At 34.6% G+C, this 26,641-nt stretch overlaps 1 protein-coding gene across 15 annotated transcripts in view, besides 1 other annotated feature; it reads left to right on the plus strand.

Moving 5' to 3' along the window:
* The window catches only part of PCDH11X (protocadherin 11 X-linked), an 843,856-nt gene that overhangs the window by 58,639 nt on the left and 758,576 nt on the right, over nt 1–26,641 (plus strand). The window lies entirely within an intron of this gene.
* Nucleotides 23,517–23,689: a silencer, noted in NCBI's record as "fragment chrX:91116529-91116701 (GRCh37/hg19 assembly coordinates)". NCBI's record gives its function as "represses an EF-1alpha promoter that drives an FKBP-Casp9 reporter gene in an ReSE screen in phorbol 12-myristate 13-acetate-treated (for megakaryocytic differentiation) K562 erythroleukemia cells {active_cell/tissue: K562(+PMA)}" and the evidence as "EXISTENCE:reporter gene assay evidence [ECO:0000049][PMID:32094911]".

Here is a 26,641-nt window from a genome sequence, read left to right on the forward strand (position 1 = left end):
GAGACCTTACCAAGTTTAAATCAGATATTAGCAATAGGGTCTCTTCAACTGACCATCTTGACAAATGTGTTGTTTTAAAACGTAGTGCTTTATTCAAAGAATAATTTTGTCGTGTCTCCCTTAGGGCAGCTTAATGAACTTCCAAGAAATTTCTGATTTGTCTTGAAAGCTGCTTAACTAATTCAAATAAAACAAATAAGCCTGCTGGCATAATTTTAGCTTTGTTAAAATGTGCTTTCATTTGACATTCTTTGAAAGATTGTCAGCAAATGACAAAAAGTCTCACTACAGGTTCTTAGATGAGTCTTAGAAATGCTCTAAAATTTCTTTCTGTTTTAGAATGTGTGATAAGCCTAAAGTAACTATATGATGTGCCTAAAGTACTGGGGCATTTGTGTGGCCCCGTGGACAAATACTGTTTTGACTGCTTGTTAAAAATAATGAGAATGGAACACAAAGCATAGCCCCAGGCATGCAGAGGGCCATGACATGGGCGACTTTAACTGAATGCACTTTGACTCGCAAAAAGGCCCTGTCATGAAAGTGGCATATATGCTATGGGAAAGGAGACTTAAAGAAAAACAGAGAAAAGAAGCATGTGTTGATTCATCCATAAACTTTAGTAAATTTTACAATGTGAAATAAGTAGGCCAACCATAATAATTTCTTTTAAAAATCCCTTTGTCCTGCAGAATAGGATGAGAATTTAATTAATATTAATTTGCTCTACTTTTGTTGAATAGACAAGAATAGAAAAATCACCATTTATCCTAACTAGGCTAATATAAAATGTATATGAATAGTTCAAATAGCAAAGGGAGAGAAGGGAGAAATATAGAGAAAAATTCTAGGAAAAAAGCTCAATTTAAATATTTAAATAGGTCAATTTATACATGAAGGTGTCCTACTATTTACTATTTGATATTAATTAACTGAAATTAAAGGCATTGGTGGAAAATATTTATTAAATGTTTAAAATGTATGTAGTATAAAATTTCATAAGACTTAAAACTTAGAATATTTATTTCTAAAACTAATATATACATATATTAATTTAGCTTACGTTTTTATGAGTTTCAGTATACCTTGGCACAAACAGGGAAAGTATTATTTCACATTTTAAATATTTGGAAAATGAGTTTCAGAGTGATAATGTATTATGCTTATCATCATATGACTGGTAAATGATAGAGGTAGGAACCAGAGTGCAGTTCCTGACTCCTAATCAACAGACAGATTGTAGATGGATAGATAACCTTCAGAGCAGGATCACTGCAAGTTCATGATACAAAACGAAAAGAGTGAAAGAAAGAAAAAAGACTGGGCACAGTAGCTCACACCTGTAATCCCAGCACTTTGGGAGGCTGAGGCGGGTGGATTACTTGAGGTTAGGAGTTCGAGACCAGCCTGGCCAACACAGTGAAACCCCGTCTCTACTAAAAAAATACAAAAAAAAAAAAAAAAATTAGCCAAGCATGGTGGCGGGAGGCTGAGGCAGGAGAATCACTTGAATTCGGGAGGCAGAGGTTGCAGTGAATCGAGATTGCGCCATTGCAATCCAGCCCAGGTAACAGTGAAAGACTGTCTCCAAAAAAAATAAATAAATAAAATTAAAAAAATTAAAAAGGGAAAAAGTGGGGGAATGAAGTGATTACCAAGTAATTCTGCTTGTTTAAAAAATAAGTAAAAATAAAACTTATTTATGTGACTTTGATGCGATTAATTTTCAACTTTTTAATGGATCATGTTACTCTTTAAAGAAAAAAAATCATCTATAAGAGTTCTTGATGTTATTAATAGTTACCACTTAAAAAAGAATCCAGATTTGAAAGCTTCTCTTTTCTCTCTTTCAAGTAAAATCATACTGCAATGCTAATTCCCTATATACATATAGCTATTTACATACTCACACACATCGTACTACACATTGCAGTATTTCGAAGAACTGTTGTTCAGGAGTAGGAAATCACAGATCTCTTTAACTTTCACTTTTTAATTCAGATGGCCTGTTATTTATAAAGCTTTTTAAAATATTGTAAGTATTTTTTGACAGGGAAGCCAACATTTTCACAAATAGAAACATCCCTCAAGCACCCAGTCTGACTCAGAATATGTATATAAACCACAGGGACTTCCTTCTTTTCTCATGGTAGGAACTCAGGGGAAATTAGTTTATATAATGATGTTACAGTTATTTTTATTTTCTGCTTCAAATTTCCATCTTCCCTGGCATATATCAACAGTCACATTTCTGTACTAGCCCAGTGACAGTGTGCTGATTGATTTCCTTAAGGCAGGCATGACAGTGTTTCAAAGGTTGACAATTTTTGTTGACAGAACATGAAGATCAACTTTTTCTCAGGTTAGTGATCCTACTCAAGGCCTTCCCTTGTTTCTACCCATCCCATAAGGCATCCTCATCTTTTCCATGAATCTCAAAAGATCATTTAAACTGGGGTAGTCTTTTAACATAGTCAAGATGTTTGGGCCCTTGTTTCTATTTTAAGTAAACATCTTCCCCATTGATCAAGAGCTGGACTGGATTTATGAAACTAAGGTTAGAATTAGATTTGTTTTGCGATCTGGGGTTAGAAAATCTAAATTGTGAAAAATCTCACCTACCACAAGATTTAGAAATCTTGATTTAAATTGCCAAGAATGAGACATCAAATAATACATTGTGAAGACAAAGAGCAAGCAAACTTTGTTGTTCTGAAGAAATTAATATTTTTTAACATTATGTAACCATAACTCAAAGTGATGTGTAACATTAGAAGTGAGTAAAGATTCATTGATGTCAGTGCAGAGAGAATATACTATAACAATGAGTATAACAATTTTAGAAAACTTACTTAGTTTATTTGCCTCCAAGAGGCTCAGAAGAGTTTGAATATAATGATTTCCTCATTTTTTCAAATATAAAATGAAGTTTCACTTAAAATTTCTCCATTTCAGCTTTAAGATTACTTGATTTTATAGTCTCTGAATTCTATAATTTGCATATTAATATTTTTGATCTAATGTTAAAAAGCAAAAGAGATGACAATCAAATGCTAACGACTATGAGGTTTCTGAAAGCTGGGGTTATTATCAAAGTACACTTCCACTGGGGAAAAAATGACAACATAAAACTCATTGTCTTCATAAATGAATCTTTATTAATGCTGTCAGGTCTTAACAAATGAGAGTGTGACACTAATAGGATTAAGTAACTTTTGACTTCATTACTATTATCAGAGTCTTGGTTAGTGTTCATCGTCCACTAATGCCTTTTGTTAAATACATCTGTTATTAAAAATCCCACAGTATGGATGGACACTTATGGAACGTAAGTTGGACATCGTAAATAGTTCAATTCTGGAATTTATAAATTGAGGCTCTGAAGAACAAATGTGTTCCCAAATCTGAGTGATCTACTCACATCATGCCTCTTAACTTAATATTACCAACTAACTATAAGAAGCACCACTAAATTTTATGTTATTAGATACAGATGTATTGATCTGTTATTTCATTGTCCACTGTATCTAAATAAAAATAAATTTGAACTTAATATTATTCTTGCCAAAGGAAATGACTTAAATCCTAAAATAAAAACATATTTTTATAAGACAAAATTAATTGGTATAGAATTATTTAATGAAAACATGAGGTTGTATTACACAGATCTAATTGTCTTTAACAATTTTGATCAATGCTAATAATCTAAGATTATAAATATCCCAATGTGGGTAGTTTTCTTGGCATAAATTATTCTTTTTGTCTACACTGATTTATATTGATTATATAACAACACTGCTGTGGAGACACTCTCTTAGTGAACTGAAGTGTGATCTTTCAATCTTAGATAAAATAAATTGATGGATTGGTAAGATTTCTGTATCAGAGGTGATGACACCTTGTATGAGAAGTGATGATAAAAGCAATAAGGTCATTCTGCAGAAAACTTTCTGAGTTTGTTTGAGTTTTATCTATAAAATAATGTATCTATCTTCATGATTTTACCAGGGTATGAGTTTGGACCAGTTTTTGATGGAATTGGTCTTTAGCAAAAACTATAAAGTGCAGATGAAAACTAATTCTCACTTAAAAATCAAATACTGAAGAAATTAATATTCTCCCTTTTGTATTTATCAGTGTACAGTCATCTTCACAAAACTAATCAAGAATGAATAATTAAATAATCTAGTAGCCTAATAGACCAAATAAATTGCTTTGACCACAAATTAAATTTTAGCAGATTGTTGTTCAAGTGTCTTTCAATTTCCCAGTGCAGGTAGATGTCACTGGAGGAAGGAAAATATTGAGTCTAATTTAATTAAATAACGCAGAACTTAATTTTCTTAATTATTTTTGAAATGTCCTTTTTTCATTGGTCTTTTGCTTGCACAAATTATATCTTCACCAATCTATTCTACAAATAGGTAATAAAGTGTTTTATCCATAAAATGTTAAATATCTATTACTAGAGCACTAAGGGCATCAAAATAGAATACATGTGGACACACACTTTTTAGCAATTAAAACTATAAAAATATCGCTAGTTATCTATTTTGTATTTCCTTTGAAATAGAAGAGGTACTTCTAGGTGAACAATCATAAGAAACCTATTGCTTATTCTTTATACATTGGAAGAGTATTTAGTGGTAGCATGTTTTAATTGCTGCATGCACATATCTCTATACTTGCTGGTAAACTGAGGAAAGTAGTATAACGTCATATATAGGAAACATATTTTAAAAGACATATTTTGCAAAGTAAGTGTGAATTTTGTTTCATTAAGCAAAACAAAGGATTTTAAAAGTTGAAAATCATAAAATGAAGTTTTGGATTTTCTAACCTAATTTACATTTGTCTTTGCGATCTCACTTAATCTGGAATTTTATTTTATGTAGAGTATTATCATGAATATTTCTCATCCTTTTACTTATTTTATATATAGAATTTCATTATTTTAAGCTTCTTCAATACAATGAAGTGAAATTCTAAAGAATGAAAGGCTGTTCTATTAAATTTTGTCTAGATGTAACAACTGACTGCTAACTAATATCTTAGTCTAATTCCAGTAATCTAAATTTAACACATATTTAATGAGTGCTCAATGTACAAAGTCTTGAGGGATAAAAAATGTGTTTGGAAAACAGTCAGTGTCCCCAAGGAGATTAATAACAGGCATTATCAGGATTATATTTTTGCTCTAATGATAGTAAAGAGGAAAGAATATTTATTTTATATATACATACATACTTATGTGTGTGTGTGTGTGTGTGTGTGTGTGTGTGTGTGTGTATCTTTTTTCTTTCTTTTTCTTTGTGAGACACAGCCTTGCTCTGTCGCCCAGGCTAGAGTGCAGTGGCACGATCTCGGCTTACTGCAACCTCCACCTCCTGAGTTCAATTGATTCTCCTACCTTAGCCTCCCGAGTAGCTGGGACTACAGACGTCTGCCACAAAGCTTGGCTAATTTTGTTGTTGTTATTGTATTTTTAGTAGAGACAGGGTTTCACCATTTTGGCCAGGGGCTCAAACTCCTGACCTCCAGTGATCCTCCTGCCTCGGCCTCCTGAAATGTCATGGTTACAGGCATGAGCCATCACACTTGGCCATATTTATTATGTTATAAGAACATTTTATCTTAAATTAATCATGCTGCCATTAAGAAAATGGAATTATTTAAAGTTTTATTGTCTCAGAAAAGTTAAAATTTTATATCTATTTTTAGTAGATTTTTACCAAGCACTCTCATTAACTTATGATATCTTATTTTGTTACTAGGTTTGCAATTATGGCAGTTAATACTTTTTGCCAACATTTATCTGCACAATCATTTTGAGACTGGAAATAAAACCTTTTGATGACAATGGTAATTCTTGTGCTAGTTGTGGTAATTACCTAAGTCTTTCTATTATCTTAATTCTCAAACTTGTTATCTGTGCCTACAATTCCTCTCCTATATAATAGAGAAAATTAAAATTATCCTTATGTAGCATGCAGGGATATTATAAAAGCTAATGATGTAAGTAAAATCTATAAAGTTTGCTGAGTACCCTGAAGAAAACTGTTCTGTAAACAATAGTTATGGGTTTTACTCTGTAGGTTGAGGTTAATTACAGTCTTTCACAATTTTTCTAAGAGTTGATGCTTCATACTCCTTAAAAAGCCTATTTTACGACTTAAACTTAGTTTTCCATACATGTTTTATGTATGTATACAGAGAAAAATATGACAACATTAATCTATTTCTTGATCAGTGCCACTGGCTCTACATTTTTTTCTGGACCTAGTTCAGTTTTTGTTTTGTTTTGTTTTGTTTTAAGTCTTCCACTTACCCTCTTTGGCTTATCTCTTGAATCAAATGTCTCCTCTTCATTTGTCTTTGTCTCCTCGTGGCCCTCCATATGACAGTGATACTGCTAATATGAGTACTTTCTCATATACTGCCTCTACCATCTGGAATTGCTTTATTTACATCTCATTCATATGCCCTTATTTTTTTAAAAAAGATTTCCTCTCTTGTCTTTTGTTTTTTCAAGCTGAGAACTTATTTTCCTATCCCCTTTCTAAGACAATCACGACTGTTTTTTTTTTCCAGTAGATTTTGTAGAACAGGTGTGTAATAACATACTTGAACTTTTTTATTTTTAATTATTCTAAATTAAATAGGTCTTAAAATATCCTTTTTCAAGCAGAAGATTTGCTATAACAAGCCTTTCCTGGATGCTAGTATGTTTTTCTGGCTTATAAGAGAGCCAAGATATCCTCTGAGGACAAGAGTTGTTTAGAAGAATTCATTTAAAATAGTTTGACCAGGGAAATATAGCAGAATAAACAGCCTGCATCCTAAGGACAGTGGAACAAGGGGAGCATTGCTGTCAGTAATGCAAATAACAAAGTAAATGGTTAACAGAAGAACGAAGTTGTGTTCTAGATAATCATATACTGCCTCTACGGTCTGGATGCATGAATTCTAGAGAAACAATTTAATGGACTATAAATAAATTAAGAAGTTTAAGACTTTATGGATTACTTTTAGTTGAACAGAGTGCTTTATTTAAGTCACTGAATGATTATATGGATGAATTTTAGATTGCGTATAGATATCAAAAAGCCAAAGAATATGATCATGCTTAGTTACAAACTAATGCATATTCAATTAACTCATTAAACTACCTTCAATAAATAAGTAAATATAAAATGAAGGCTACTTACATTGTTTGAATACACAATATAATAAGATTCTGATGCTGATTATTTGATTTTGTGTTTAGTGGTTTCATACTGCTTTGGCTTGGAGGATGTAAGTATTTAACAGATCCTGTGTGTTTCAGGAGGCATTTAAATCTTTTAATTTTGCTGTGAGGAAAGTTATTCCTAAGGGATCAGTCACAGATAGCTATATTACCCCCATCAAATGCATCATTTTCCTAGATTCCAAACCCTATGTAGAAATCTCCAAGTTGAAGAAGTAACAATGACCATGCTATCAATGTTTAATCCTTTGGAAACCATAGTAATGGTATAGGAATGCACCTTTTTAACTAGAAGTACTCATGGGCCTGGAAAAGTGAAGATGACCTCATTGGGGAATGGATATATGGCCCTAAATTGGAAAGTCATTGGCTGGCTTCTGTATAGGCTATTTATAGCCCATTTATTCATCTGCAGCTTTTAAGATTCTAAACATTTCTCTATAATCTATTTTCCCTATAGTTAGAGGTTAATTATACTCTGTTTATCTATATGTTTAAGATCAATTACCTAACTGCTAAAATGAAAGCATTTTCATATAGCTAGAGCTCTCACACAGAAAACTAGTTTACGTGTAAGGTAACCAGTTTAATAAAACTGATAATCTCTTTAGCTCTTAGAAATTGGATTTTAATTATTTATCTAATAGACAAGACTTCTTAAGCTATATTTTCTACTCAAATATACTAATGGAAATGTAAGTAATTTAAAATTTTTCTCCAACTGTTTTGTGGATGTTTTGTAAATTGTAATCTCATTGTAACTATGTCTGGTGTTCTACAATCTAGACTATAAAGGTGTGAAGCAAAAAAAAAATGATTTCTTTCTGAAATAATGTTTTACATTACTATTTTACACCACAAAATAGTGACTGGCCTTATTTTAGGTATTGATTAATGTAAAAAATGGCATTTTACCCAATAACCTTCCTGTTATTACCAGGCAACTATGGAATTTAGTGACACAATTATTTTTGTTTCTTTTTTTCATCTTAAGGAACAAGTTCTTAATTAGATTAGATACAGCTATAAGTAAACATAAACTATGTTCTTATGTAACCTCAAGAGTTATTTTAGGCCGGGCGCGGTGGCTCATGCCTGTAATCACAGCACTTTCGGAGGCCGTGGCGGGCGGATCACGAGGTCAGGAGATTGAGACCATCCTGGCTAACATGGTGAAACCAAGTCTCTACTAAAAATACAAAAAAATTAGCCGGGCGTGGTCGCGGGCTCCTGTAGTCCCAGCTACTCCGGAGGCTGAGGCAGGAGAACAGCGTGAACCCGGGAGGCGGAGCTTGAAGTGAGCCCAGATCGCGCCACTGCACTCCAGCCTGGGCGACAGAGTAAGACTCCATCTCAAAAAAAAAAAAAAGAAAAAAGTTATTTTAAAGTGTCTCCATGCCTTGTTACACAGTTCATTGACAATTGTTTAATCTGTTGCTGCTGTTAAGTTTCCTTAAATTTGTGATTATTTCAATGAGTTAGTGATAGTTTATTCACCCATATTTGTGGTGCATTGCCACAAGGAATTATTGACACTTCTTTTTACTGACAACAGCTTTTTTGTTTTGTGTTTACAGTGTGATGTTGAGAGTTTTGTTGTTTCCTCACAAATAACTGACTGCATAACTCTATGCTTTCCTACATGGTTAGCAATTGCTATTTCATGAATAATTGGATTTGCTTTCCTAGTTGCAGTTATCAGTCGGTGCTTCTTAAAAAGATAGCTGTTTATTTTGATGACTGCTTAGGCAATATTTATTATTAAGTATTGCTTTCTCAAATGATTTTTCACAGAGGCAGTGGACAAATGGTTTGACCTGTACAGTGTACAGTGTACAAAGATTCATTTTGTAGCTTAAAGAATGAATTATCTTTGTGTCCTTTGTGTGTGTGTGTGTGTGTGTATTATAGAGACAGGGTCTCACAGTGTTGCCCAGGCTGGAGTGTAGTGGCTTTGCACAGGCACAATCATGGCATGCTACAGCCTTGAACTCCTGGGCTCAATCAATTCCCCTGCCTCAGCCTCCTTAGAAGCTGAGACTACAGGCTAGCACTACCAGGCCCAACGTTTTTTGTACATTTTTTAATATGTATTTTATCCTCTTATGAATTTTTGTTATCTATTTGCCCTGTATAATATTAGGATGGGTATATCATTTATCCTCCAAATTAAGATTAAACAGGGACATTAAATTAAATTAAACAGGGACAACCAGAATATATAGTCACAATATTTAAAACCCCAAATTTCTACAGTAATTCCTTCTTTTCCATTTTACATCCTTCTTCTGAAGGTCTCGTCTACCTTGAGCCAGAGAGCTGCCATCTTCTGCAAAACATCATTGGGGTCAACTATTACTTGCACAAACTTGAACTTCACTCTGTTTTAATTTAGCAGAGCGACTCTCAGGCTGACTTGGTTCTGTTGGCAAAAGACTAGCTTCTGAAGAATTGTCTAACAGCAGAAACGCTGTCATCAAGCTTACATAGGGTGAATTTTTTTCTGAGCTGGCATTGTTCATCTAATGTAGTGTTTTCTAAAGCTAAATTTTACACACACAAAAAAAACAGACATGGAAAACAGGCATAATTGCATTTAGAATTATGTTACTTTTGGACATAAGATTTCTATTTCCTTTGATATTATTCAAATAGGTGAAGACTATGTCGTTTGCTTCTATGCACTGATCCACAAAATGTAGGAGGTATTAAATGTCTTGCCAAGTTACTAAACAAGTAAAGTTTTCAGAAGCTCAATGTGTGACCGAGTTTCTCCTTTTCTACACATATTTCCCTAAATAGCCATTTGTCTACAGGCCATGTGAGTATAGCCTGAAGACAGGATGAGATACAGAGCCACTTAAGCAGCTTTCCAAAATGAGGTTTTAGATTGTGGAGCCAAAGCTCTGAGTGGTTTTTGTAAGAGAGGAATTTTTTTTTTGTTTTTTTTTTTTCTTGAGACAGAGTCTCGCTGTTGCCCAGGCTGAAGTGCAATGATGCGATCTCGGCTCACTGCAGACTCCGCCCCATGGGGGTTCACTCTATTCTCCTGCCCCAGCCTCCCGAGTAGCTGGGACTACAGGCACATTCTTTATGACTGTATCTCCATGGACATATTCTTCATAAATATTTAGAACAGCTTATACTGTCTTCTATTATACTGGCTTGAAGATAATTGATACCATTGATGCAGGATCAAGTGTTGTCTGTCTTTGTTCATCTACATTACAAAACATGGTGTCACCAATAATCTAATTATTTTTGTTATACTTTCCTGTGTTACTGGTTTGAAGATAATCGATACCATTGATTTGGGATCAAATTTGTATTTTGCTGTTTGTCTCCATTCATCAACAATACAAAATGTGCTGTCACCCATAATAGTTTATTTTTGCATCATATGTTTTGGATTTCTACATTCATTTGCCTGAATTTTTCACTCAGGGTTTTGGATATTATATATTTCATATGCAGCATGTATCATTTGATGGTGACTTAAATGCCTGTATCCTATTATAACAGAACTAATCACTTTTCTAAAGATAAGTATAAGTTTGGTCCACAAAAAAATTTCTACGTACATTGACTCATTGAACCTGCTACGATGAAGACTTCTACTTTACAATTCAACTATGCATATCAGGATTACTGATTTCTTTATATGACATTACTTATGAAAAGAAGTAATTTTATGAATTACTAAACACTTTCCAAGTATGTTTATTTTGAAACTTGCCTTTAATTAATAGAGATAGCTTGAATATTTAGCATAGTCCCTAATAAAAATAATTGAATTAAATTTAAGTATCTAGTCAATAGAATTAATAGCAATTGCTATAAACCTAAATAATTATGGTGATAATAAAAATCAAGTTAAATACAAGATGTGGTATAGAGTTCAGTTAGCTTAATAATCTAATGTTTTACTAGTCCACATTCAATTTTAGAGTAATGATGTTGAAAATGCAAATTACTTATTATTAGGTTCCTTAACTTTACTATTTACTTACTTTTTAGTTTTTTTAAAGTTTTATTTTAGGTTTAGGAGTACATGTGCAGGTTTGTTATATAGGTAAACTCCTGTCTTGGGGGTTTATTGTACAGATTAATTCATCACCCAGGTACTAAGACAGGTAAGTACCCAATAGTTATTTTTTTCTGCTCTTCTCTCTCCTCTCACCCTCCACCCTAAAGTAGGCCCAATATCTGTTGTTCCCTTCTTTGTGTCCATGAGTTATCTTTATATTAATTATTTTTATTTCACTACTTGGCAGTTTGCCAAATCAGAAACTTGATTTTGATAAGAGAAAAATGTCTATTTCAGAAGTTAAAAATCCGTATTTACCAAATGTTTACCAGTCTACTATCATTGATAGGGTTCACTATATTTCAATATATATATCCCAGTGTTGTCAAATTTTTGAGGTATTGTGATTTTATTAGTGTTTGATAATGAAAACATAACTTCAAAGTCTATTACCTGAGCATTGCTTTAATATCCAGGATTCTTTGTACATGCCATTATGTTCCTGAAAGTACATTTAGCATAATATGTATAGCTAATTTATTTGAAAACATAGCCAATTCTTCATTATTCAGAAGTTAATAATCAAATTTCATGAATCATATCCCTCCCCACTACATCCTACTACATTTCATTTTCCTTCAAAATACTTTAAAAATACTTCCTAGAAATTATCTACTTTAGCAAATGCATTTCAAGATTCTCAGAAAATATTTTTTAATAGTCCAGAATTATTCATAGGATTAGATAAGCTCAAATCTCCATTAGATGTTCTTTTCTGTTATTAGTAAACTCCCCTCTTTAGTTTAGTTCAGTGTTGTAGCACCCTTATTCTTGGTTTCTATTACATTTAGAGTATCTTACAAGGAGCAGCATCTGTTACTCTTCTAAGAGATTAAGTCAAACCAAATAGGTGTGTCTATTTAGAATAATAGGGATTTTTAAGAGAATTATAATTGGATCTTGTAGGTGTCACAAACCTCAGTGTAATAGGCATCATTGATAAGAGATTCCTCTTTTAACTGTTTATTTTGGCATTGCTACATTCGTTTTGAAGATTTTCTTGGTAGCCTTGCATACATTTTAAACCATTTTTCTTACAATTAGATGCTGTGATAACATATAGAGGCTGTGGATACCTACAATTTTAACTTCTGCTTTGATTCCCAGAAGGAAAGTATAAATATTATACTGGCTCTGATATATTAGAACTTTACATTAATTTTTAGACAAGATAAAAAGTATTTTTAAAATATTTTCTACCATATTGCTCAATTATCATCCTTTTATCATAGCAACTTATCAATGTTACAAAACGTTTTTGTGGGCATTATAGTTTGGAACTCAATTTTGAGAACATTGTCTTAAAAATCTTATCAAGATATGACTTTCCAAATACAACATTTGTATTACAATTAGATGTATACCTTGTTCTTTTTTCACTTTTAAATTAAAACATGTGGCTGCTCACGGATTGAAAACAGGTTTACCTATATATGTCCTTACCAATTGGTAAGCATTATTCAAAGTAGATCATAAAAAGGAGACAAAAGCCTTGATATTCCCAATTAAAAAGATTTAAACTAAAAACTCCTTCTGCTAACTGTATACTGTTGAAGCATTTATTGTATAACCCTTAACTGTCAAGAACTGCCACATCTTTTGATATTTGTGACAGCTATTTTAGGAGAATAAGGGAGATGCAATGTTATAATAGGTAAGGGATGAAGATCAGCTTCCTGGTAGATTACAAAGTAGTGATAATTCTGCTTTCATCCTATTGTGTTTTTTTTCTGCACTATAGATTGAATTACATATTATTGCTCAATGTGATGCTGATTAATTAAGATGTAGGGAGCTGTGGAAAATTATCCATATTTTGTCATAAACATGTTTACTGACTGTACATCAGAAAATCACTAAATAATGCATGAAATTATAAAAATTACATTAAAATATTAAAATTACCTGTAAAACCTAGGTATTTAAACCACTGTAGTTTTTCATATGATATTGTCAGATCAAATACACTTGCCACTTTCATTTAAGAAATAATTACCAATATTAGATGTAACTTAAACATAAAATAAAAAGAGTTGGACATTTATTCATATCAAATAAATAGACTAATGTCTTCTATGGATACGTACTCTTTTCCATATTTTTAGTTGTTCTTCTTCCATTTTTAATTTTTATGAGTACATAGTAGGTGTACGTATTTGTGGGGTACATGAGATATTTTGATGCAGTCATACAATGTGTAATAATCACATCAGGGTAAATGGGGTGTCCTCAGTTCTTTGTCACCTGTGGTTTTAGCTCTGATTAAGAACTTGTCTTGGAACCTAAGTCAAAGTTTGATTTTAAATTTTTCGTTGAAATTGACAGGTCGGCTGAGGAAATGAAGATTTCTCCAGTTCTGTAGTCAGGTGGTCTGATCGTTAGACTAATTGGATTTACATAAACCCAAGTATTATATTTTACATATGCATTGATTTTTATCACCTCTATTTTCAAGCTGTTGTATAAATGTTGCAGCTTTCAGGCCCTACTTCCATTGGTAACAAATAGAAACTGGTTTGCTGCTATTCTGTCCTGGCATACAAATAATCTAAGTCAAAAGCTTTGCTTTTCATGTTTTTCTAGGATAGTGAGAGGAAAAAAAAAATTTCTCCTACTCAAAGCATTTATTTCATTTCTATTTTCATAAAATTAGGAATTCTTTTTTTTTTTTTTTCTTTTTTGAGACGGAGTTTCACTCTTGTTGCCCAGGCTGGAGTGCAATGGCACGATCTCGGCTCACTACAACCTCCGCCTCCCGGGTTCAAGCAATTCTCCTGCCTTAGCCTCCTGAGTAGCTGGGCTTACAGGCGCCCACCACCGCACTCAGCTAATTTCTTGTATTTTTAGTAGAGACGGGGTTTCACCATGTTGGCCAGGCTGGTCTAGAACTTCTGACCTCAGGTGATCCTCCCGCCTCGGCCTCCCAAAGTGCTGGGATTACAGGCATGAGCTACCATGCCCAGCCCAAAATTAGGTATTATTTGTTAATGACTTACGGGTTTTTAATTAGCCACAAGATACGAAAGTCTAAACAAAAGTATGTTTTGTTATAGTCAGTTTAATGCCCTAAAAAAATGATGTTTGCACAAATGATTCTAATGCACAAATGTTATTAGTTTCTATACATTTATATTTTCTCAGAGTCTTTTCTGATTATTTGCTGGACCCTACATTTATAATTCCATTTATGCCGATTTCAGAGTAAAATTTCTATTGGGGTACAATTTAGTCTTTTTCTTCTAGGATTGCAATTTTCATTGTGTTGGCCTAGGGCTTCTCAACCTTGGCATTATTGACATTTGAAGCTAGATAATTCTTCCTTGTGGGGTGGTGTGAGAGCTGTCTTATGCACTGCAGGAAGTTTGGCAGCATCTCTGGCCTCTACCAAATAGATCTTAGTGGCACTCTCTTGCCCAATTGTGACAAGCAAAAATGTCTCCAGAGTTTGACAAATGTTTTCTCGGGTTGCGGTGGGGGCCCCAGGAATTTCAACAATAGAAAACCATTGCTTTAGCTCACCCTTACACATATTCATAAGAGAGGATTTTGTATTTTATAGAAAGATTTTATTAACTCCAAAAAGGAGTCAGACTTGAAAACCTTCAAAAACCTTCAAATGATGAGCATTCTCAGATAAAATATTTCAGAAATGTTGAAACAATAAATGCTATTTGAATAACACATACTTTAGTGGTCATAGGTGAAATAGTATTAGGACATATATCAAGTCCTTTGATAAAAAGATATTTTATGAAGTAATAGTGCCTTTTAACAAATTCATAATATGTTATAATTTATCGTAAATGTAGAAGTTACTTTCTTATCTGTGTGACTGAAGGGGAACACAGTGCTAAATGATAAAACAGAGTAGCCTGAGGTGGTTTTCTTCTAATTTCAGGTCAGATTTACATTTCACTAATTGCACAAAAGTTTTTCAATATTAATTTTGTTTTATATATACAGAAAACATATTTATTATTAGCACTAGCAAAATCTTATGTAATGAACCCACTTCATAAATAGAATATTTATGTTAATCAAATATGAATGTTTTGCCAACCTAATTTCAAATCTTAACATAAAAAATTGGAATGAGAAAATTGATACATATGAGTATATTGGTATATGTATTATAAATGATTCAACCTCAGCTAGTAAAGGAAGTTTTATTATTTTCAATAGTAAAATCATTATTTTTCTAATTTGATTTCATAGTTATGTAAGAATTATTAGCAATTTTAAAATAATAAACTTTGAGCGAAACTATTTCCTGATTGTTAATGGATAAGAAAAAGATAAAAATTGACATCTAGAATTAGGCAAAGGAAAAACTAATGGAAGATTCAATATATGAATGAGACACAAAAGTTGATAGTGGTGTGTGATAGAACTAATTACAAGCGTTTTTTAAGCGAATATTTTTAGTTATAGATTTATTTATGAAAAATTGTTCTTAGCTCTTGAATTTTATAGTGTTTTTAAATTTTTAATGTATTTACTTTTTTCTTTTTTCTTTTTTCTTTTTAATTTTTGTTAGTACATCATAGGTGTATATATTCATGGGGTACATGAAATACTTTGATACAGACATGCAATTGTCATGATCACATCGTGGTAAATGGGACATCCATTCCCTCAAGCATTTATCCTTTGTGTTACACACAATCCAATGATACTTTTAGTTATTTTAAAATATATGATTAAATTATTATTGACTGTAGCCACCCTGTTGTGTTAGCAAACGCTAGGTCTTATTCATTCTTTCTTTTTTGGTACCCATTAATCATCCCTACCTCCCCTGCCTACCAACAACCCTTGCTAGCCTCTGGTAACCACCTTCTACTCTCTGTCTTCATGAGTTCAATTGCTGAAATTTTTAGCTCCCACAAATATGTGAGAACGTGTGAAGTTTCTCTTTCTGTGCCTGGCCTACTTCAATTAACATAATGATCCATCCATCCATGTTGTTGCAAATGACAGGCTCTCATTCTCTTTTCTGAATAGTACTCCATTTTGTATATGTACCAGATTTCCTTTACCCATTCATCTGTTGATGAACACTTCAGTTGCTTCCAAATCTTGGCTACTGTGAATAGTGCTGCAAAAAAGCCTGGGAGTGCAGATATCACTTTGATATACTTATCTCCTTTCTTTTGTGCGTATACCCAGCAATGGGATTGCTGGATTGTAATGGTAGCTCAATTCTTAGTTTTTTGAGGAACCTCCAAACTGTTCTCCAAGTGATTGTACTAATTTACATTCCCACAAACACTGTACAAGGATTCCCTTTTCTCCACATCGTTGCCAACATTTGTTACCACCCGTCTTTTAGATAAAAGCCAGGGGGTGAGATAATATCTTATTGTAGTTTTGATTTGCATTTCTCTGATGATTAATTATGTCAAACATCTTTTCATATGCCTGTTTGCCATTTGTATATCTTATTTCGAGAAATGCCTATTCAAATCTTTTGCCCATTTTTTATTACAATATTAGATTTCTTTTTCTCTAGAGTGATTTGAGCTCTCCATATATTCAGATTATTAATCCTTTGTCAGATGGGTAGTTTGCAATATTTTCTCCCATTCTGTGGGTTGTCTCTTCACTTTGTTTTTGATTGTGTCCTTTGCTGTGCAGAAGCTTTGTAACTTGATGTGATCCCATTTGCCCATTTTTGCTTTGGTTGCCTGTGCTTGTGAGGTATTGCTCAAGAAATCTTTGCCCAGACCAACATCCTGGAGATTGTTTCCAATGTTTTCTTGTATGGTATAATAGCTTGAGATCTTAAATTTAAGTATTTACTCCAATTTGATTTGATTTTTCTATATGGTGAGAGATAGGGGTTTAATTTCATTCATCTGCATGTGGATATCAGGTTTTTCCAGCACCATTTATTGAAGAGATTGTATTTTCCCCAATGTATGTTTTTGGCAACCTTGTCAAACATTATTTCACTGTAGTAGTGAGGATTTGTTTCTGGGTTATCTGTTCTGTTCCATTGGTATATGTGTCTGTTCTTAAGCCAATACCATGCTATTTGGTTACTATAGCTCTGTAGTATAATTTGAAGTCAGGTAATGTGATTCCTTCAGTTTTGTTCTTTTTGCTCAGGATAGCTTTGTCTATACTGGGTTTTTTGTGTGGTTCTATACAAATCTGAGGATTTTTTTTCTATTTCTGTGAAGAATATCATTGGAATTTTTATTGGGATTGCATTGAACCTGTAGATTGCTTTAGGTAGTATGGACATTTTAACAATTTTGATTCTTCTAATCTATGAACATGGAATATTTTTTCCCTTTTTTGGTGCCCTCTTCAATTGCTTTCATCAGTGTTTCATAGTTTTCGTGATTGAGATTTTTTACTTCTTTGGATAAGTTAATTCCTAGGTATTTAATTTTTTGTGTGGCTATTATAAATGGAAATAATTTTTAAATTCTTTGTCACATTGGTCGCTGTTGGCATATAGAAGTGGTATTGATTTTTGTATGTTGATTTTGGATCCTGCATCTTTACTGAAATTGTTTATCATTTCTAATAGTTTTCTTGTGGAGTCTTTAGTTTTTTCCAAATATAAGACCATATTATCTGTAAACAATGATAATTTGAATTCTTCCTTTCCAATTTGGATAACCTTTATATCTTTCTCTTATCTGATGGCTCTAGCTAGGACTACCAGTACTATGTTGAATAATAGTGGTGACAGGGGGCATCCTTGTCATGTTCCAGATCTTAGAGGGAAGAATTTCCATTTTTCCACATTTAGTATGATACTAGCTGTGGATCTTTCATATGTGACTTTAATTGTGTTTAGATATGTTCCTTCTATCCCCAGTTTTTTGAGAGTTTTTGTCATGAAGGGATGTTGAATTTTATAAAATGCTTTTTCAGCATCAATTGAAATGATCATATGGTTTTTATCCTTCATTCTATTGATGATATCTCACATTGATTTGCATATGTTGAACCATCCTTGTTTACCAGGGGTACATCCCACTTGGTTATGATGAATGATCTTTCTAATGTATTGTTGAATTTGGTTTGCTAGTATTTTTGTTGAGGATTTTTGCATTAATAGTCATCAGAGATATTTGCTTGTAGTTTTCTCTTTTTATTATCATTTTTAAGTTCCAGGGTACATGTGCAGGATGTGCAGTTCATTACATAGGTAAATGTGTGCCGTGGTGATTTGCTGCACCTATCAACCCATCATGTAGGTATTAAACACAGCATGCATTAGCTAGTTAGCTGATGCTCTCCTTCCCTAACTGGCCTCAGTGTGTGGTGTTCCCCTCCCTGTGTCCATGCGTTCTCGTTGTTCAGATCCCACTTATAAGTTAGAACATGTGGTGTTTGATTTTCTGTTCCTGTGTTAGTTTGCGGAGGATAATGGCTTCCATCTCCACCCATGTTACTGCAAAGGACATGATCTCATTTCTTTTTGTGGCTGCATAGTATTCCATTGTGTATATGTACCAAATTTTCTTTATCCAGTCTATCATTGATTGGCATTTGCGTTGATTCCACATCTTTGCTATTGTGAATAGTGCTGCAATGAACATACATGTGCATGTATCTGTATCGTGCAATAATGTATATTCCCTTGGGTATATACCCAGTAATGGGATTGCTGGGTCAAATGGTATTTCTGGTCCTAGGTTATATTAGTCTGTTCTCATGCTGCTAATAAAGACATACCCAAGACTGGGTAATTTATAAAGAAAAATAGGGTTAATTGACTCACACAGTTCCACGTGGCTGGAGAGGCCTCACAATCATGGCACAAGGCAAAGGAGGAGAAAGGCAGGTCTTACATGGAGGCTGGCAAGAGAGAGCGTGTGCAGGGGAGCTCCTTTTTATGAAACCATCAGATCTCATGAGACTTATTCACTATCACAAGAACAGCACAGGAAAGAAATGCTTCCATGATTCAATTACCTCACACCAGGTTCCTCCCATGACACATGGGAATTATGGGAGCTGCAATTTGAAATTTGGGTGGGGACACAGCGAAACCATATTTTTCTGCCCCTGGCCCCTCCCAGAACTCATGTCATCACATTTTAAAGCCAATCATAGCTTCCCAACTGTCCTCCAAAGTCTTAACTTATTTCAACATTAACTCAAAAGCCCAAGTCCAAAGTCTCAGGTGAGATAAGGCAAGCCCCTTCCACCTATGAGCCTATAAAATCAATAGCAAGTTACTTTCTGGATACAATGGGTGTACAGGCATTGGGTAAATACACCCATTCCAGATGGGAGAAATTGGCCAAAATAAAGGGGCTACAGGCCCCATAAAAGTCTGAAATCCAATAGGGCAGTCACATCTTAAAGTTCAAAAATGATCTCCTTTGACACCATGTCTCATATCCAGGTCATGCTGATGCAAGAGGTAGGTTCCCATGGTCTTGGGCAGCTCCACCCCTGTGGCTTTGCAGGGTACAGCCCCTCTCCTGGCTGATTTCATAGGCTGGCATTGAGTGTCTGTGGCTTTTCCAGGCACATGGTGTAAGTTGTCAATGGATCTACCATTCTGGGGTCTAGATGACAGTGGCCCTCTTCTCACAGTTCCACTAGATAGTGCACCAGTGGGGATTCTTTGTGGAGGCTCCCACCCCACATTTCCCTTCTGCCATGCCCTTGCAGAGGTTCTCCATGAGTGCTCTGCCCCTGTAGCACACTTCTGCCTGGACATCCAGTTGTTTCCCTACATCCTCTGAAATCTTGGTGGAGGTTCCCAAACCTCAGTTCTTGACTTCTGTTCACCCTCATGCCCAACACCACGTATAAGCCACCAAGGCTTGGGGCTTCCACCCTCTGAAGCAACAGCCTGAGCTCTACATCGGACACTTTCAGCCATGGCTGGGATGTAGGTCATCAAGTCCCCAAACTGCACAAAGCAGCAAGGCCCTGGTCCCAGCTCATGAAACAATTATTTTTTTCTCCTAGGCCTCCCAGCTTGTGATGGATGGGAGAGGCTGCCATGAAATCTGCTGACATGTCCTGGAGTCATTTTCCCATTGTCTTCTCGATTGATATTTGGCTCCTTGTTTCCTATGCAAACTTTTGCAGTCAGCTTGAATTTCTCCTCAGAAAATGGCTTTCTCTTTTCAATCACATTGTCAGACTGCAATTTTTCCAAACTTTCATGCTCTGCCTTCCTTTTAAACATAAATTCCATAAGTTCAAAACCATATTGTAGTGAATACATAACACTGAATGCTTTTGACAATACCGAAGTCATTTCTTGAATGCTTTGCTGCTTAGAAATTTCTTCTGCCGGATACCCTAAATCATCTCTCTCAAATTCAAAGTTCCACAAATCTCTAGGGCAGGGACAAAATGCCACCAGTCTCTTCACTAAAACATAGCAAGAGTCACCTTTGCTCCAGTTCCCAACAAGTTCCTCATCTCCATCTGAGACCACCTCAGCCTGGACTTTATTGTCCATTTCACTATCAACATTTTGGTCAAAGTCATTCAACAAGTCTCTAGGAAGTTCCAAACTTTCCCACATCTTCTTGTTTATTTAGGATCCCTCTAAACTGTTCCAGTCTCTGCCTGTTACTCAGTTGCAAAGTCATTTCCAAATTTTGGGGTATCTTTACAGCAGCACCCCACTCTACCAGTACCAGTTTACTGTATCAGTCCATTCTCACATGGCTAGTACAGACATACCCGAGACTGGGTAATTTATAAAGAAAAAGAGGTTTAATGAATCCACAGTTTACAACAACAGTGTAAAAGCTTTTCTATTTCTCCACAGCCTGGCCGGAATCTGTATTTTGTGGACATTTTAATAATTGTCATTCTGACTGTCCTGAGATAGTATCTCATTGTGATTTTGGTTTACATTTCTCTAGTGATCAGTGATGTTGAGCTTTTTTTCCATATGTTTTCTGGTCGCATGTATATCTTCTTTTGAGAATTGTCTGTTCATGTCCTTTGCCCACTTTTTAATGTTTTTTTTTCTTGTAAATTTGTTTAAGTTCCTTATAGATTCTGTATATGAGACCTTTATCATAGGGATAGATTGCAAAAATTTTCTCACATTCTGTAGGTTGTTTGTTCACTCTGATGATTGTTTCTTTTGTTGTGCAGAAGCTCTTTAATTAGATCCCATTTGTCAATTTTTCCTTTTGTTGCAGTTGCATTTGACATTTTCATCATGATGCCTTTGCCCTTGCCTATGTCCTGAATGGTATTGCCTAGATTTTCTTCTAGGGTTTTTATAGTTTTGGGCTTTACATTTAATTCATTCATCTATCTTGAGTTAATTTTGGTAAAAGGTGTAAGGAAGGGGTCCAATTTCAATTTTCTGCATATGGCTAGCCAGTTCTCCCAGCACCATTTATTAAAAAAGGAACCCTTTCCCCATTGCTTGTTTTTTTTTTTTCAGGTTTGTCAAAGATCAGATGGTTGTAGGTGTGCAGTCTTATTTCTGAGTTCTCTATTCTGTTGCATTTGTCTATGTTTCTGTTTTTGTAGCAGTACCATGCTATTTTGGTTACTGTAGCCTTGTAGTATAGTTTGATGTCAGGTAGTGTGATGCCTCCAGCTTTGTTGTTTTCGCTTGGAATTGTCTTAAGTATATAGTCTCTTTTTTGATTCTATATGAATTTTAAAATAGTTTTTTTTTCTAATTATGTGAAGAATGCCAATGGTAGTTTAATGGGAATACCATCTATAAATTACTTTGGGCAGTGTGGACATTTTGACAATATTGACTCTTCCTATCCATGAGCATGGTAAGGTATATTTTTCCATTTGTTTGTGTCCTCTTTGATTTCCTTGAGCAGTCGTTTGTAGTTCTTCTTGAAGAGGTCTTTCATTTCCCTTGTTAGCTGAATTCCTAGGTATTTGATTCTCTTTGTAGCAATTTTGAATTGGAGTTCATTCATGATTTGGCTCTCTGCTTATCTGTTGTTGGTGTTTAGGGATGCTTGTGATTTTTCCACACTGATTTTGTATCCTGAGACTTTGCTAAAGTTGCTTATCAGCTTAAGAAGCTTTTGGGCTGAGACAATGGGGTTTTCTAGATTTAGGATCATCTCATCTGCAAAGACAATTTGACTTCCTCTATTTCTATTTGAGTATATTTTATTTCTTTCTCTTGCCTGATTGTCCTGGCCAGAACTTCCAATACTATGTTGAATAGGAGTGGTGAGAGAGGGCATCCTTGTCTTGTGCCGGTTTTCAGGGGAGATGCTTCCAGCTTTTGCCCATTCAATATGATATTGGCTATGGGTTTGTCATAAATGGCTCTTATTATTTTGAGATATGTTTCTTCGATAGCTAGTTCATTGAGAGTTTTTAACATGAAGTGTTGTTGAATTTTATTGAAGGCCTTTTCTGTGTCTATTTAGATAAGCATGAGGTTTCTGTCTTTAGTTCTGCTTATGTGATGAATTATGTTTATTTATTTGTGTATGTTGAACCAGCCGTGCATCTTGAGGATAAAGCTGACTTGATCGTGGTGGATAAGCTTTTTGATTTGCTGCTGGATTCAGTTTGCCAGTATTTTATTCGGGATTTTTGTATTGATGTTCATTAAAGATATTGGCCTGAAGTTTCATTATTTATTTTTATTTTTTTGGTTGCATCTCTGCGAGGTTTTGGTATAAGAATGATGCTGGCCTCATAAAATGAATTAGGGAGGAGTCCCTCCTTTTCAGTTGTTTGGAACAATTTCAGAAGAAATGGTATCAGCTCCTCTTTGTACCTCTGGTAGAATTCAGCTGTAAATCCATCTGGTCCTGGGCTTTGTTTTTTTGGTAAGCTATTTATTACTCCTTCAATTTCATAACTCATTATTGGTCTCTTCGGGGATTCTATTTCTTCCTGGTTCAGTTTTGGGAGGGTGTATATTTCCAGGAATTTATCGATTTCTTCTAGATTTTCTAGTTTATTTGCATAGAGGTGTTTATAGTATTCTCTGATGGTTGTTTGTGTTTCTGTGGGTAGGTGGTGATATCCCCTTTATCATTTCAGATTGTGTCTGCCCCAGTGAGATCAGAGTTCTGTCCATAAACCCCTGACTGGAGTTGCTGATATTCCTGTAGGGAGGCCTTGCCCAGTGAACAGGGATAGATCCAGGTCCCACCCAAAGAAGCAATCTGGCCACAGTCTGTCACAGCCACTGTGCTGCACTGTGGAGAATTCCTCCCAGTCGAAACCTTCCAGTCTGTCAGGCCCTGGCAGCAGAAAATGGCTGTTTGGAGCCACAGGGATGGCTGCCGCACCTCCCCCCAGGAACTTGGTCATCTTAGTCAGTCTCCAGCCTGCTACCTACCGCTGGGTCCAACCCAAACGGCTGCTGAGATTCTGCACAATTCTGTGCTTGGGACCCAAAGTCCTGGTGGCATAGGCTCACAAAGGAATCTCCTAATCCCTGAGTTGTGCAGATCGGTTGAAAAAGCATGATTTCCTGAGCAGAGTAGCACAATAACCTCCTCCCTTGGCTGAGGGTAGGAACTTCCCTTGCCCTGTGCAACTAGCAGATGGGCCATCACTCCACCGTGCTTTTCTCTCTGCATGGGTTGCATCAACTGCCTAGTCAGTCCCAATGTGAGAACCTGGATACCTTAGTTGATGGTGCAGGATGCACTAGCTTTTTTTGTTCTTCTTGGTGAGAGCTGCCAACCACACCTGCATCTAATCAGCTTTCTTGGCACCACCGCCACTCATCTTGGCCCCGCCAACACCCAGTTTTCTTTTTTTGATGTGTCTTAGTCTGATTTTTGTATCTGGGTAATGTTGGTCTCATAGAATGAGTCTGGAAATATTCTCTCCTCTATTTTTTGCAATAGTTTCAGTAGAATTGGTATTAGTTCTTGTTTGAATGTTTGGTAGTATTCAGCAGTAAAGCTATCGGGTCCCAGGCTTTTCTTTACTGAGAGGCTTTTTTATTACAGCTTTGATCTCACTACTAGTTATTGGCCTGTTCAGGATTTGAATTTCTTCCTGGTGAAATCTTGGTTGGTTCTATGTGTCTAGGAATTTCTCTATTTTCTTCTAGGTTTTCCAATTTATTGGCATATAGTTGCTGATAGTAGCCACTAATGAGCCTTTGCATTTCTGCAGTGTCAGTTGTAAAGTCTCATTTTTTCATTTCTGATTTTATTTATTTATATCCTCTCTCTTTTTTCTTAGTTCATCTGGCTAACAGTTTGTCAATTTTGTTTAACTATTTTAAAAAGCCGCTTTTTGTTTCTTCAACAATCTTTTTTCATTTTCTTCATTTCAATTTCATTTTATTCTACTCTAATCTTTATTATTTATTTCCTTCTACTAATTTTGGGTTTGGCTTGTTCTTGCTTTTCTACTTATTAAGATGAATTGTTAGATTCTTTATTTGAAGGTTTTCCTCTTTTTTGATGTAGGCACTAATAGCTATAAACTTCCCTCTTGGTACTGCTTTTGCTCTACCCCATAGGTTTTGGTATGCTGTGTTTTCTTTATTATTTGTTTCAAGAAACTTTTCAATTTACCTCTTAATTTCTTTATTGACCCACTGATCATTAAGCAGCATATTATTTAATTTCCGTGTATTTGTATAGTTTCCAAAATTCCTCTCTTTATTGATTTCTAGGTTTATTCTATTGTGCTTAGAGATGAGGCTTGATATTATTTCAATTTTTTGAATGTTTTAAGACTTGCTTTGTGACTTAACATATGGTCTATTCTTGACAATGATCCATGTGCTGAGGAAAAGAATGTGTATTCTGCAGCTGTTGGATGTAATGTTCTGTAAATATCTATTAGATGCATGTGGTGTATAGTACAGATTAAGTCTGATGTTTCTTTGTTGATTTTCTGTTGGGAAGATCTGTCCAGTGCTAAAAGTGGGGCATTGAAGTCTCTAGCTATTATTGTACTTGGGACAATCTCTTTTTAGCTCTAATAATATTTTCTTTATATATCCAGGAGCTCCAGTGTTGGGTGCATATATATTTAAAATTGTTGTATCCTCTGACTGAATTGAAACCTTTATCATTATATACTGACTTTCTCTCTTCTTAATTGCTTTTGTCTTGAAATTTACTCTGTTTGATATAAGTATAGCTACACCTGCTCTTTTTTGTTTTCCATTGGCATGGAATATCTTTTTCTCTTTTTCATTTTCAGTCTATGTGTGTCTTCATAAGTGAAATGTGTTTCTCATAAGCAACAGATCACTGGTTCTCATTTTTTCATCCATTTAGCCATTCTTTGTCTTTTAATTGAAGATGTTATTTCATTTACATTGAATAATATTGATAAGTAAGGACTTACTCCTGCCATTTTATTATTTGTTTCCTGGTTGTTTTGTGGTCTTCTCTTCCTTCTTTCTGTCCTTCCTGTCTTCCTCTAGTGAAGGAGATTTTCTCTGGTGAAATGTTTTAGTCTCTTGCTTGTCATTTTTTGTGTTTTCATTTTATGTTTTTTGGTTTGAGGTTATTTTGAGGCTTGCAAATACCATCTTATAATGCAGTATTTTAAGCTGATAATAGCTTAACATTGTTTGCATAAACTGACAATCAAAAAGAAAACTAATAAAAATTCTACACCTTAACTTGATCCCCAAGCTTTTTAACTTTTTGTTGCCGTACTGACTATGTCTTGAAAAGTGGTTGTAGTTATTACTTTTGATTGGTTCATTGTTTATTCTTTCTACTTAGGATAAGAGTAGTTTACACATTACAGTTACAGTGTTATAATATTCTATGTTTTTCTGTGTACTTGCTGTTACCAGTGACTTTTGTACCTCCAGGTGATTACTTATTGCTCGTTAATGTCTTTTTCTTTGTGTTTGAAGTACTCCCTTTAGCATTTCTTGTAGGGCAGATCTCGTGTTGATGAAATCTCTCAGCTTTTGTCTGGGGAAATATTTATTTCTCCTTCATGTTTGAAGGATATTTTCACCAGATATACTATTTTAAGGTAAAAGTTTATTTTCCTTCAGCACTCTAAATATGTCATGCCACTCTCTTCTGATCTGTAAGATTTACACTGAGAAGCCTGCTTCCAGACGTATTGGAGCTCCATTGTGTGTGTGTGTGTGTGTGTGTGTGTTTGTGTATTTTCCCTCTCTTGCTGTCTTTAGGATCCTTTCTATATCATTGATCTTTAGGAGTTTAATTATTAATTACCTGAAGTAGTCTTTGCATTAAATCTTCTTGGTGTAAAACTTCCTTTTACTTTGATATTGATATATTTTTCTAGGTTTGGAAAGTTCTCTGTTATTATTCTTTTGAAAAACTTTCTACCCCTATCTCTTTCTCTACCTCCTCTTTAAGGCCAGTCACTCTTAGATTTGCCCTTTT

Source organism: Homo sapiens, chromosome X, assembly GCF_000001405.40.
Source record: "Homo sapiens chromosome X, GRCh38.p14 Primary Assembly".
In the NCBI taxonomy this organism is placed as follows: domain Eukaryota; kingdom Metazoa; phylum Chordata; class Mammalia; order Primates; family Hominidae; genus Homo; species Homo sapiens.